Source organism: Homo sapiens, chromosome 1 (genome assembly GCF_000001405.40).
Source record: "Homo sapiens chromosome 1, GRCh38.p14 Primary Assembly".
NCBI lineage: Eukaryota > Metazoa > Chordata > Mammalia > Primates > Hominidae > Homo > Homo sapiens.
In genome coordinates this window covers 162,715,069-162,729,981 of record NC_000001.11, presented here as the reverse complement: position 1 = coordinate 162,729,981, position 14,913 = coordinate 162,715,069, and the positions used below count along the sequence as shown (strand labels likewise).

At 38.2% G+C, this 14,913-nt stretch overlaps 1 protein-coding gene across 8 annotated transcripts in view; it reads right to left on the bottom strand.

Moving 5' to 3' along the window:
- DDR2 (discoidin domain receptor tyrosine kinase 2) overlaps positions 1 to 14,913 on the bottom strand; it is a 156,543-nt gene that overhangs the window by 57,424 nt on the left and 84,206 nt on the right. For 7 of the 8 annotated variants that reach the window (NM_001354983.2, XM_047421554.1, XM_011509587.3 and 4 more), the window contains one exon: positions 10,837 to 10,945. The exons of the other annotated variant lie outside the window; for it this stretch is intronic. In NM_001354983.2, coding sequence (NP_001341912.1) covers positions 10,837 to 10,918 — 82 coding nt within the window. In that variant the 5' untranslated portion in view covers positions 10,919 to 10,945. The remainder of the gene's footprint in view (positions 1 to 10,836; positions 10,946 to 14,913) is intronic. 8 annotated transcript variants of the gene reach the window in all.

Here is a 14,913-nt window from a genome sequence, read left to right as displayed (position 1 = left end):
CACCTGAGGTCGGGAGTTCGAGACCAGCCTGACCAACATGGAGAAACCTCGTCCCTACTAAAAATACAAAATTAGCCAGGCGTGGTGGTGCATGCCTGTAATCCCAGCTACTCGAGAGGCTGAGGCAGGAAAATCTCTAGAACCTGGGAGGCGGAGGTTGCAGTGAGCCGAGATTGCGCCATTGCACTCCAGCCTGGGTAATAAGAGTGAAACTCCATTTAAAAATAAATAAATAAATATAAATAAAAATAAATAAATAAATACAGAAAAGCCTGGGAGTTTCCTTGACTTCCTTTTTCCCCCTCCCTCTTCTTATTCATCAAACATTTGTTGATTGCCTATATAAGCCAAGCACTGTAATAGGTGCTGGTCATGACGACACAACAGATTATCACTACACCAGAGACAAAGACCAAAGTCATAAAAACCTCTGAAGCAGGAAGAAAAAAAAAGTTGCATAAATTTTTTTAACAACTCATCACCTCCCACTTAGGCTCATAAAAAAACCTCACTGATTTTAGTGTCTTAACTTCTACTTTACTGTGTATGTGTCCAAACCACTGAAAAATTCTGTGAGGGTTATCTTGCCACATCCATACTCTTCAGAGACCCACAGGCCAGGACCAAGAGCTAAGTCAACAATCACACTATTCTCCCAAGGAAAAAAAAAAAAAAAAAAAATATATATATATATATATATAAATGGATATGCTTGGCTTGAGCACAGGGTCCTGCATCCCTTTAGAGTTAGGGTGGCCAGAGTTCAGGACTGTTAGAAGCCCCATTCCCCAAAAGCAACTTGAGTCGGTCTTGGGGACCACAAGGGACCTTAATGATCACTAATGGAGTTTTTTTCTCTTTCTTCCTCCTGCATCATCTGCTTGATAGAAACTGTTGTTTCATAGTGTTTATTTTCATTTTCTTTTCTTCCAAAAGTAACAAATCACAGTCTTTGATATTTGCATGTAATTTTCCAAAGCCCATTTATTTCCATTATCTCTTTCAATCCCCTGCAGTAACCCTATGAAGTTCAGAGAGCAAAGTTTATGGACCCCATGTTATAAATGAGCAAAGTGAGGTGCAGAGATTTACCTAAAGTCACAAAGCTAGATAGTGACAGAGCTGGAACTAGAATCTAGATCTCTTGATCTCCATTGTCACAGTCTGTCTAGTAACCGTATCACGTGGTCATCACACCCTGCTACCAGCACACACACCCTGTTTATCATGTGATCACTAGGGTCAAGAATCACCAAGTTGGGGAAGAATCTGGACAGAGAGCCCAGGGAGGATTATTGCTTGTCTAATTTTTAGAATGTGCTTGTCCCAGGATTTGTTGAAATGTGATAGCAAAAGGAACCTGCACTCTGGGAAAGACAGCATGGCATAGCATTATGTTAACACCAGGTGAAGACAAGGCCTTTGATCATAAAACATTTGTCATATACTGAGGATCCCAAGATTATATGGTTCCTACTTTTGGTGCCATCCTAACCCCACCTTTGCCTTCATGACCCCTCAATAATCACTATCCTCACTCTTGTTTTTCTATTTGTGCCTCTGTGCCTTTTCTTCAGCTCAAAAGCTTTCCCTTCCTCTTTTTACCTGGCCTGGCAAATTCTTTCAGCTCCAGCTAACTCTCATACCTTCAGTATCTCAACTAGCATGACATTGGAGATTTGACCTGATTGGGTAAAATGTGAACATATTTATGTACATATTTATGGACTATGTATGTATATATATAAAGATATATCTATCTATATATATATAAAGATATATCTATCTATATATATATAAAGAGATATCTATCTATATATTTATATAGATATATCTATATATAGATATATATAGTGTGATTATATCTATATATAGATATATATAGTGTGATTATATCTATATATAGATATATATAGTGTGATTATATCTATATATAGATATATATAGATATATATAGTGTGATTATATCTATATATATATAGATATATATAGTGTGATTATATCTATATATATATATATAGATATATATAGTGTGATTGTCGACTTAGCTCTTGGTCCTGGCCTGTGGGTCTCTGAAGAGTATGGATGTGGCAAGATAGCCCTCACAGAATTTTTCAGTAGTTTGGACACATACACAGTAAAGTAGAAGTTAAGACACTAAAATCAGTGAGGTTTTTTTATGAGCCTAAGTGGGAGGTGATGAGTTGTTAAAAAAATTTATGCAACTTTTTTTTTCTTCCTGCTTCAGAGGTTTTTATGACTTTGGTCTTTGTCTCTGGTGTAGTGATAATCTGTTGTGTCGTCATGACCAGCACCTATTACAGTGCTTGGCTTATATAGGCAATCAACAAATGTTTGATGAATAAGAAGAGGGAGGGGGAAAAAGGAAGTCAAGGAAACTCCCAGGCTTCTCTGTATTTATTTATTTATTTTTATTTTTATTTTTATTTTTATTTATTTATTTATTTATTTTTAACTCTATATATAGATAGATATATCTATATAACATGTAACATGTGAACATATAGATATATCTATATATACATAAATACATACATAAATATACTTACATAAATATACACACATAAATATAGATATATCTATATATAAATACATACATAAATATACTCACATATATATGTGTGTATATTTATTATAATATTTATTATGTTTATTTTTATACATATTTTATATATATATTTATATTTATATTTATATTTACAAAATATAAATATATGTTTATATTTACAAAATATAAATATATGTTTATATTTACAAAATATAAATATATGTTTATATTTACAAAATATAAATATATGTTTATATTTACAAAATATAAATATATGTTTATATTTACAAAATATAAATATATGTTTATATTTTAATGTATTAATAATATTAAATATTATAATATTTATAATATATTTATTATAATATTTATAATTTTTATCATATATATTATATTTGTTTCATATCCTTTTCCTATTTTATATCTGTATCAATCTATGTTTCTTACATACTTATATCGCTATATTGTATGTCTTGATCTTATGGGCTTGAAGCCCCTAGAGTTCTTGTCAGCTTTCAGAACAAAACATTAATAAGCAAATATGTGAAGCAGCAGTGATGCACGGACCTAATGGCCCCAGTGCGCCCAGTTTCCATGGTAAGCAGGGTCCCTGTCTCCTTGTCTGCTCCTGCCAACACTGTTGTTCTTCTGTAGACTCTTAGTCTTTCCACACGAGAGCCCTGAGCAAAACTGAGCTCTGCAGGTGGTTGTGAAAACTGAGAGGTCCAGAAAAGGGACTTTGTGTGAAGCTCTTCCTGGAGTCCCATGATCATGCTCCTGGCCCCAAAGTTTAGACTCAAGGAGACTAGGTCTCCCTGGGCCTCTATCCCTACTGACAACAGAAAAAAAGTGGAGCTTTGTTTTTTCTTGCATTACTTTTAGCTCCTCTGACTGCCTTTTACAACTAGGAATCTAGGCCTCAGAATGCAAAACAACAGGGTGAAGGCAAAGTTTTAGGGTATGAACCGGGAATTCACCTGGCTACTTTGGATGGAAAGGTGATGATGCAGTAGATGTATTTGGAACCCTTTTATCCCAAGATACAAAGCCCAGGAATTAGGTGAAGTCTGCCCTCAAAGAAAATGAAATATTTTTACAGTATAGTAATTAAGTTAAATAATTAATTAATGAAATGATTAAACTAAAATATAAAGGACAGTATAGAATAATGGAAAGACTAATGAAGTCTGCCATTATCACAGCACAATATACAAAATTGAGGAAGAGGACAGAAGTTCCAGCATTTATTAATCACATTCTGTGTGTTTGACACTATGCTAGGTACTTTACATATATTCTCTTACTCTTCCTAACAGCCCTTAAGGCAGCGATCAGTGATAGGTGAGAAGACTGCAGTTCAGAGAACCCAAAACTCTGACCATGCTCGTCCAGCGAGTAGGCAAAGCCTGGTTAGGTCTGCTAATAGTCTTTTCAAACATGTTTCCTCCCATCACTTTATCTCCCTAAACCTCAGTTTCCTCATTTGTACAAGATTAGATTAAATCCACCATTCTTAGTCTTTTCTAGAACTGGTCACAGAGTCTTTTGAGCATCTGATAATAGAAAACATTTTTCATTTTGCAAATGTACTTTTGTCTTCACACATTAAGTTTGGGATGCAATTTCAGGGGATTCACGGGTCTCTGTAGCCCATTCGTGGCTGGTCCATGAATCTGGGTTTCCTCTGCCCTGACATTCCTTGAGTCTCACACTCCAAAGGCAGTAGAGCACAGAGGTCAAGAGCATGCTTGTGGCCGGGTGTGGTGGCTCATGCCTGTAATCCCAGCACTTTAGGAGGGCGAGGTCAGGAGTTCAAGACCAGTCTGGCCAACATGGCAAAACCCCTTCTCTACAAAAAGTACCCAAACTAGTTGGGTGTGGTGGCGCATGCCTGTAGTCCCAGCTACTTGGGGAGCTGAGGCAGGAGGATGGCTTGAGCCCAGGAGGTTGAGGCTGCAGTGAGTCATGTTCATGCCACTGCACTCCAGCCTGGGTGACAGAGCAACATGCCCTCTCCAAAAACAAACAAAAAAACAAGCGAAAAACTCTTAACTGATACATTGTTGGAAATTTGAAAAACGGGATAAAGAAAAAAGAAGTAGAAGAAAAGAGCATGCTTGCTGGAGCAGAGTCGAATGCCGGTTCTGCCACTTAGCTTTCTCTGTAACCTGCTATGAGTTACCTAATGTTTCTTGGCCTCACTTTCTCCTCTGTAAAACTGGAATAATAATACTACTATTATATAATAACACTAATACTAATAAGATTATTGTGAAGATTAAATTTGTTGACACCACTTAAAATGGTACCCAGAATATATTAAGTGTTCATTGAATATTCTTTGAGTTTTGCATTCTCTTTTTCCCTATTTGGCACAACCAAGAGGGCTCAAGGGGCAGATGAGTTTCTGTTTTACCCAGAGAAAGGCTCTTTTACTGGCAGGAAGGATGCCAAAGGCCACTCTCAGGCGTCAGCCTAGACTTAAAAAACAAACACACAAGCAAGAAAGAGCCAATCTGGGCAGCTTCTAGCATTGCTCACTTAAGATAAATTCAACCAGAGAGGTCTTTTGCCGGCCTTTTATCTTTTTCTCAAGGCCTGTTCAGGCTGTCTAACACACACTACACCCCCGCGCCACCCACCTACACACACACATACACACACATCACAACACTAGTACCTCAGGCCTGGTTTCACAAACCTGAAACTAGCATCACCTTCTCGTTAACAGATGAGGCCACATAAACCTTCTCAGCACATCTCTGGGAACACGAATGACGAGAAGCCAGGGAAACAAAAATGAGTTTCCAATTTGGAAATATGTGTAGGTGAATTAACACATAGCAGTCTTGGTGGAAGACAAGGGAGCGGTGATAAAGGCACAACCTGGTGCAGAAGGGAACCAAAGCATCCCTGGTGCTTCAGTTTCTGGGTGGGGGTAAGTTGGCCCGCAGGGCTTCTAGCTCCAGCCTTCCTCATTTAGCATGAGACTAGGTGTGAGCACTGTATATCCTATTCGTCTGACTCCATTCTTTGGCCTCAGGCTGTCCCTCAAATCTCAATTACATCTCATCCCCATAAATATACATTGGAAGTTGGTTGCAGAAAGGAAAGCATGAGGCTGCATGGATATATGTGATTTTTAGATAAAGGTCACTTCAGCACATTGCTCCCTGAGGGCCCAGGTAGAAGTCACCTGGGATTGGGAGACAGGTAGCCCTGGGTCCTCGTCCTAGCTTAACTATTAGCTAAATGTGGAGCATGGGCAAATCACTCACCTGCTTTGACTCCCAGTTTCCTCATCTGTAAAGTGAGGAAGAGTGACTTAGATATTTCTAAGGTCCATTCCAACATGAACAGTCTAGAATTCTAGTTGCCTGACCCTAAGAACTCACTGACATGTGGGATTGATGCTGGAAAGAACAAAAACCACAGTGGTGAACCTAAAATAAATTTGGGGCCAGGAGGAGAAAAGCTCGTCCTCTCCTAATCCCAAACCCTGAATGGCTTTGCCACTCTTTTTCAAAGTGGAAGCATTCTGGATACCAAAGGGGGACTCCCACCCCAGGACTCTGAACTGGTAGTAAGTTGCCTGCTTCCTATGAGGGGAAAGTGTGACATGAAAATGGGAAGTTCCAGCACTGCCCTGCCTCAGCTTTATACCATGGATCCTAAAGGCCTGGTTTGCCTGCTGAGAAGAAGAGATGTTTCTCCCTTTCCTGAGCACAAACAGTTGTCACAGGCCAAGTCAGGGGAATAAGAACAAGCACCCCTGTGTTTTTTATACACAACAATCCTCTAATTGGCTGGGTGGGTCCCAGGGCTTCAGACTGCTGGGCTAGAATTTCAGGATCATCAGGATAGTTCTATTCATCCTCCTACCTGGAAAAACGTAAGGTGCCAGTTCCCCACTAACCACTGAAACAGTGGTTTTATATCCCCTAGGGGAGCCTGACACTGATGTCCACTCAAACAACTACTGCAGCCCCGTATTTTTGTGCATGATTGTGGGGTCTCTTTCCCATGGAGATGCCCTTAGTTCTCCTATCAAGTTTGGCAGTCCCAGCCCAAGCTGGAAATAAGGGAAAACTTGACTCAAGGATCCCACAGGGGAATGGATCTCCTACATAGCCCCGCTGGCTCTCTCACTCATTATCCTCCACCAGGAGCCCCAAATGTTCCTCACCCTCCTCTCAGCCATTGCATACGCTATATCTTCAGCCTGAAATGCTACCTCTTGGCCCCACCTCTAGAGCAAAAGATGCTCTGGAGCAGGGTAGCTTGTAGCACTATGACTCTCCTGCAGGTTAGGCTGGGGCAGGGTTTCTGCATTCACCTGCCACTAAGCAGAGTTTTAGGGTTTAAAATTTTTAAGTATTTATCAGTCACTTCCTGTGTGCTTAGCCCCAAAGGCAAGATTCTCCTGAAATTCAGACTTCACATCCCTGAGCCTGGGAAGTGGTAGGGAGTTGGAAACAAGTAGTCTTTCTTGCAAAAAACAGCCATGCAACTTCAGGGGCTATACTTCCAAGCCGAAATCTTCCAGTATGGGCTATAAAGTTCTCACATCATAAAAATCACAGTAATTTTGTAGCAGAAAGGGTCCCATAGATTATCTAATCCAACTTAATCTTACTACAAGTGAAAATATTAAGGAAGTATAAAGAGACACGTAACAACTCCCTCACTGTCACACAATTAATTTATGACCAAGTCAGGATTATAATTAGGGTTGTTACTCAAAAGTTAAGCTAAATACTTTTTTCTAAGTTAACTCCAAATCATTCATCAGAACTAATAACATTCCAATCATCTGTTGATTTGTATAAATGATTTTCAGAAATTATTGGGATGATTATTTGTTTGATTTGGATGTCACTAGCTAAATGGTATTTCTGAGCCATGATTTTGACATAAGAAACTGCCTCTAATTCTTCCAATAACCTCTCCCACTGGATTAATGATGATTAGGTTCCAGTTCCTGGTGCACTGTTGCAGCTGGAAGATAGCTGAGAACTCTGCCCACAATTCAGGACTATGTATATACACCTTCATGTCAGCATTTCCCACAAAGACTTGCGTAGCCTACGCTCCAGGCCCCATTGACAATGCTACCTTTAACACTGCCATTACTGGAAATGCCACTAACACCATCTGCCTGACTGCCTGCTTTGCCAAAACTCAGATACTTTAGAACAGTGAGCCAAAAACTCTGCTGCCTTCGTGCTTCAGCCAACTATCTCTGTCATACCACCACTACTCTGCAGCCTCCATGGATGACACCTGTGAGACATTTATGATTTCAAATACTAGAGAGTTTTTTTAAATGTAAACAAGATTATTTATCCTCTCTTGGTATCTGCTGAGACACCAAGATTGATATTTCATATCATATCATGTTTAATGTTTGTTATCAACTAAATCATGCTAATACTGAAGGCTTATTGACCAATAGTCATTGTAAGATCTTCAACAATGAGCTTCAACTAATTATTATTTTATTTTTATTTTATTGAGTTTAATGCTTAGCTCAGTTACTATTAACCAACCAATATGTTATAGCTAATAACCAACTAAAATGTTTCAGTAATTTAATAATTGGTTGCATATTGGATTTGCTTATAACTCAGGTCTCCTGGCTTAAGTTCTATTTGTTATATCATGTGGCCATTCTGTGGGAAAAACCTAACTGGCCAAGAATTCACTCAGTCTTTCAGTGCCTTCAGTTACCTTTCAATACTTTCAGTTATAGTCAGTCTTTCAGTTGACACCAGTAAGGACTCCTGAAGAGTCATCCTTAAATCAACATGCATTTATCATATGCTGACTTTATGCTCAGCAGTGTGCAAGCTATAACATTCTATGAGCCTCAGGATTCATGATAGACTCTTTATCACTGATAATGAATGAAAATGTCTCATCTGCCTCAAACACTCATCTCTGGTTTGACTTGGTAAAATAGAAAGAAATGGCAGAGAGAAGGATTAGTCCTTCAACATGTCCTGTTTTCCTATAAAGGTCTTTGCAAAGCAAGAAGTCTATTTCTCTTTCCCTGTCAGAAAGAGCCAACAAAAATACCTGACACCAGAAATAGAAAAAAAAATTAAGATGACTATTTGCTGTCTCCAAATAGCCCATTTCCTGCTCCAGGGCCACAGTGTGGACTCTAACACAGAAGATCAGCTCTCCTGGTTAGTCATTTAAATGTCCTCGTGGCATGCCAGTCTCCATGACTATGCTTACCACCAAAACATCCCACCATTCCATGCACTCACAGCACTCTTCCTTAGAACTCAGAGCATGAAGAATGTAGTAGGAGGCAACCAAACATCAACAATTGATTGAGAGGAATACAGAACAGAAAAAGGAAAAAATGGTACCCAAGTTAGGATCTGAGATGCAACAGCTGAGCTTATTACGAGAAAGTAACAAGGCACTGGGCTCCTTCAGCCAATAATTCTTTGATTTTAAGGATGTTTGATCATATTTCCTATTGAAGGTATAAAGAAAAACCCATGCACATGGAACTTTTATGAAGGGAGGAGAGCAAGCATTTTCACAAATGTACCCTTATGCTATGAAGAGGACAAAATTAAAGCACCCTCAAGAATCAAAATATAGCATGGAACAACTGGAACTTGCATATACTGCTATGGGATGGTAAAATGGTAAAGTACTTGAAAAAATTTTTGGTATTATGCAGAATAGTATATCATATGCTACACATATGAAGTTCCACTTCTAAGTGTATACTCAAAGGAACTGAGTACTTATCTCTACCAAAAGTTTTATATAAGAATAATTATAGGAGTTTTGTTCATAATGGGCCCAAACTAGAAATTATTCAAATTCCCATCTACAGTAGATTGGCTAAATAAAATGTTCAAACAAAGTAATATACAACAATGAAAATGAATAGTTGACAACTGCATGCAACAGTAGGATGAATTTCATAAACAAAATGTTGAGTGAAAGAAGCCAGACACAAAGAGTATTTATGCATCATCTAATTCCATTTATATAAAGTACAAAAATGGGCAAAACTAATCTATGTTGCTAGAAAGCAGGATAATGGCTACCTTTGCGGGGTGGTGAGAAAAGTTACTGGAAGGGAGCATGAAGAGAGCTTCTAAAGTGCTGGTATAGTTCTGTTTCTTAATCCAGGTACTGTTTAGATGTGTTCAGTTTATGAATTCATAAAATTGAACATTTAAGCTGTATACTTTTCCATGTTCATATTTGTAGCAAAATGAAAAAAAAAATGACTCCAATTCTTCTCCAATACCTGCATCCCAGACCTTTACCATCTAATTTTTTGTGCTCTCCCACTCTGACTCTGGGCTTGGCCACATGAATTGCTTTGGCCAATGAGACTTAGTAAACATGATTTCAGCAGTGGCTTGAAAAATGTTTGAGTATTCTGGCTTCTGGTCTTGTTCCTGTGCAATTTCCAGGAAAACATACCCAGGTTAGTCTGCAGGAGGATGAAACAGAACACAGCAAAGTTGCCCCATTCATCAGTGCCACATCCATCCTAGATGAGCCAATAGCCAGCTGACTTCCAGTTATGCTTGAGTAAATCAACACAGAACAGAGAACAGTCCAAACAAGTCCAGCTAGGAGCCAAATAAATGCTCGTTTAAAGACATTGAGCTTTGGATAGGTTGTTAAGCAGCATTATTGTGTAATAAATAATACAATTATTTACTTCCATTTAAACTTTAAAAATGCATGTAATACAAAATAATCCCACAAATTTGGGCTCAAAAGATTCTCCTAACCTATCTATTTTTAGCATGGCCACATCCTAGAGGAAAGAGAACCTGCCTGAGATCCCACAGGACCAGGATCCCAAAAGCATAACAGGACATCCAAGTAAAATCAAAGTCTAAGACAGCCCAAAACAACTGGTAAACCAACCTGAAGAAGTTCTCCAAGACATCTAAAAATTCTGTCCTGTTTTTCTCAGAAGATGCAGAAGCAAATGGTTGCTTCTGCCACCTCCCATTTTTTAAAATGCCCTCTTACTGCACCCCTACTCTATATAAGAAAATATTTTACAATATTCAACAGGTTGTAAGTATTAAAATACATATATATAAAGTATATTCATTTTTCTTCCTATTTTAGTCATATTTCACCATGGAGATTTAAAAAGAAAGAGCTTTGTAGTCCCTCTTGGCAGCTTTTAGACCCACCATTGAACATTGATGGGTTTAAACATTCTGCTGGTCTTCTAGCATATAGCTGAGTAATAGCCATGTTACCTGGATTAACCTGAGCTTTTGCAGAACTCAAGATAGGCAGCAGCAGGAACAGCACCAAGAGCATTCTGGGAATCAGGATCATCTCAGAAGATGGTGTTGGAACTGGAGTCTGCCACCAACCAATAATGCAAGAAAACAGAAAGAGAAGGAGAGGAAATGAGTGAGGCAGATACTGCCAACATGAATGAGTACAATTCTCACAATTAATTTTGTGTTCCTGCAGTGTTTGTTTTTATATATGGGACTTCGAATCACAGACTTTGGGAGTTGAATGGCACATCCAATAATCACCTAATATAATAATTTTCAAACTCTATCAGATTGCACACTCATGAAATTTAAATTAGCAAAAGTATAGTCAGACACACGAAGTTTTCCTAAGATAAATACTTACCCAAATGGTGAATAATGGTAAAGTAAAACTTATATTTATCATGTAAACTGATGTTTTCATAATCTTGATATTGATTCCAATATTCAACCAAGAGAAGCATTTACTTTTAATGTTTGCCTTTCAAAACATATAAGTTCAATATTTATCCCGATTCATTATCTTTGGAGTGATACCTGGGATTCTGTATTTTCAGGTTTCCCCAAAATGATTCATAATATCTAATCTATGATAATAGATTAGATTTGGAGACATCAGTATGAACTTATGTTTAGCTTAATAAGGATACAAATAGTTACATATGGAAATATTTATAGATATGTGTATATGCCTGGGTTAGTATACACACATATGTTCCATCCGCTGAAAAGGCCTAGAGGCAATGACATCCCAGTAGCAATGAGCAAACCTAGTGCTCAGATCTTGATTTCTAATAACATTCTTCAATAAAAGGAGACAGGATTCCTCAGAAAAATGGCTGATTCTGGGAATGGAGCAGACTATAAACAAGATGGACTTGGAGTATCTTTTAGTGCCAGAAATTGAGAAAATGTACACACAAAAAGATGATGGGGTATGACAAAGGGACACAGTAGCCAACTTAATGAGTTCCTCCCCTCAAAAACAGCAGTATTGAATTATAAACCAAAGAATAAAATAAATATCCATGAGTTCATGCTGCTATAAATTAATGATTGAATAAACAAATGGGGAGAATATGCACATTTCCAATGCAAAAGAATTCCAAATAATTTATGTAGATAATCTGCTCTTAAGAAAATGAAGCATTACTATCTCCCTTCCCCAGCTCCTTAAGAGTAAGTTGCACATAGTTACTTTGTCCCAAGAAGTACAGTGTAAAAACAGAGAAAGAAAAAGGGTCACTTTTCAGTGGAGAAATCTGACAAACACTTCCTCAAGACAGGTAATCAAGGTTAACATCAACATTGATAAGTCATATTGATAGTATGTGTTCTTGATATGATGTGATGAAAATGACACTTTACCTCTGTGGACTTCCTCCCAAAAACCTATTACCTCAGTCTACTTATAAAAAAATCACCAGAAAAGTCTCAGTTGGGGGAAATTCTATAAAGTTCCTGATGAGTAATCCTCAAAACTGTCAAGGTCATTAAAAACAAGAAAGTCTGAGAAACTATCGCAGCTCAGGGTGCCTAAGGAGATATGATAACTAAGTGTAATGTTATATCCAGACAAAGGACATTAGGGGAAACTGAGGAAATCAGAATAAAGAATGGACTTTAGCTAATAATAATGTATCTATATCAGTTCATACATTTTGACAAATGTACTATGTTAATATAAGATGATAATAATAGGGGAAACTGGATGTGGGATATACAAGGATTCCCTGTACTAGCTTCACAATGATTATGTAAATATAAAACTGTTCTAGAAAGCCAGGCACAGTGGCTCACGCCTGTAATCCCAGAACTTTGGAAGGCCGAGGCGGGTGGATCACCTGAGGTCAGGAGTTCAAGACCAGCCTGGCCATCATGGTGAAACCCCGTCTCTGTTAGAAATACAAAAATTAGCGAGGCTTGGTGGTGGGTGCCTGTAATCCCAGCTACTTGGGAGGCTAAGGCATGAGAATCACTTGAACCCAGGAGGTGGAGGTTGCAGTGAGCCGAGATTGTGCCACTGCACTCCAGCCTGGGCGACAGAGTGAGACAAAAAAAAAAAAACTGTTCTAGAATACAAAGTGATTTTTAAAAAATTCCCTCTGAGTAACACTAATAATCAAGCAAGCATTGGATGCAATATTAGAAATAGTATGTGACACAATATTATAAAGAGAGAAGAAATTCCCTTAAGCTGGAGTGATTAAGGAAGGCTTCATGGAGAAATAAATATCTGATCAGGTTCTTGAAGGATGGACAAGACTTTAATAGGCAATAACAGGGATGGAGTAAATCAGAGGATGACATGAGTAAGGAGTTTTCTTTTTCAGGAAACAGAAGCTTTCTAAGACAATTTCTAAGCAGTATAATACTGACACACCCAGAGGGGTTAAAAAAAAAAAAAAGCAATGTAGTCAGATGGTTTTGACTGAAGAGGATGGATCCAAAGCAAATAAAACACGGAAGATTTAAATGGCCCCATAGTGAGGGGCTGAGGGGTATGTGATCTACAACTACAAAGGGTGATGAGCATAGTTTCATAGCAATTGATTTGGATAAGATAAAATACATGTCTCAGTGTTCCTAGCCACTTCCAGCAACGGGAACACTATTTCCATAAATAAGTCCCTAAATAAACATGCCCAGAGAAAGAAACACACAGGTGAATCCTGGAGACATTGGTCTTGGCTATAGTTGAGCACTAACTCATGACCATAATCCAGGATGTCCTTCCAGAGAGACCCGAGCTCTTTGTAAGCAGCCATCCAGTAAGTGCTGAGGCCCAGGACTGACTTGGCTCACCGCCCTCTCCTAGCAGTCTTTTGCAGGACAGTCCTAGAATTCTCTCTCTCTCCTGTGGCACCTCTCTCATGGGTTACTGGCCGTAACTTCCTCCCCTCCATAACCTTCCCCAATAATTCCTTCTGCAAAGAATGTCTCCCACACATCATTTCCTTTCTTTCCTTCACCAAAACACATGCTTAATTTAACTCTACTGGATCCTTCACAACATTGTTATAAAATTATCCATTTAATCATTAACTTCAAAATGGTTCATTCTTATATTGCCAAAGTATTACTTTACATCGTGCACAAAGTATGTGCTCAAAAATGGTTTTTAACTGAACTAAGCCAAACCTACTAAGTGTTCAAAAAATGTTGACTAATTTACTTTTTGAAACTGTTGCCGGGCTTCAAGCTGCGAATCTCCAAAAGCAATAATTATTTTTCTGTTTTGCCTAAAATTAGATGACTGTCAGCTAACAAACAGAGCACTGTAAAGCACCTAGAAGTATTATACCTATACCATGTACTTCTACTACGAATCAGAGACCATCTCTTACAATATTCACAGTAACTCAATGAGGTTTGTTTTCAACAACAAGGAAGCTAAGGAGAAAGAGGTTAAAGCTAATCAGGTTACACACCTGATAGGTGACCAAACTCATATGTGAACCTAAGGCTTGTGTTACTTCAAAATCCACATGGGTTTTTGTTGTTTTTGTTGTTCCTTCTTTTGTTTTTGCTCATCATCACACTATATCATCCTTTGATCTGGGCTCCACCTACCTCACCAGAGCTGCCCTTCTCCTCATCCTCTCCACCTCAGTCACACTGGAGCTTCTTTTCTTTTTCTTCCATTTTCTTTTGCCTAAGGACCTCCGCCAAGAAGTTTCTCTCCTCTCTTTGCCTAGTTCAAATCTCTACTAAATGGTCACTTTCTCAGCAAAATATTCTCTCATCCCCTTGATTGTTACATGCTCTAAAAACATAATGTTTCTATATAGAAATGATCATAGTTTCTCATTATATATTCATTGCTGTGATTGTTTAATTTGTATTCCCCCCCAACACACACAAGCTCCATGTTCATTTTATTCGTTGTTGTAGTCTCAACACTACCAGAGTGCCTGATAAGTATTTGCAGAATGAATTAATGATTGCCTTGAGCCATATATTCAGTGACTACATCTGGTCATTCTAAATTCCATACCCTAAAAGGAAGTATCTCTAAAGCTTATTGTGAGCAGAATCACCCTTTTC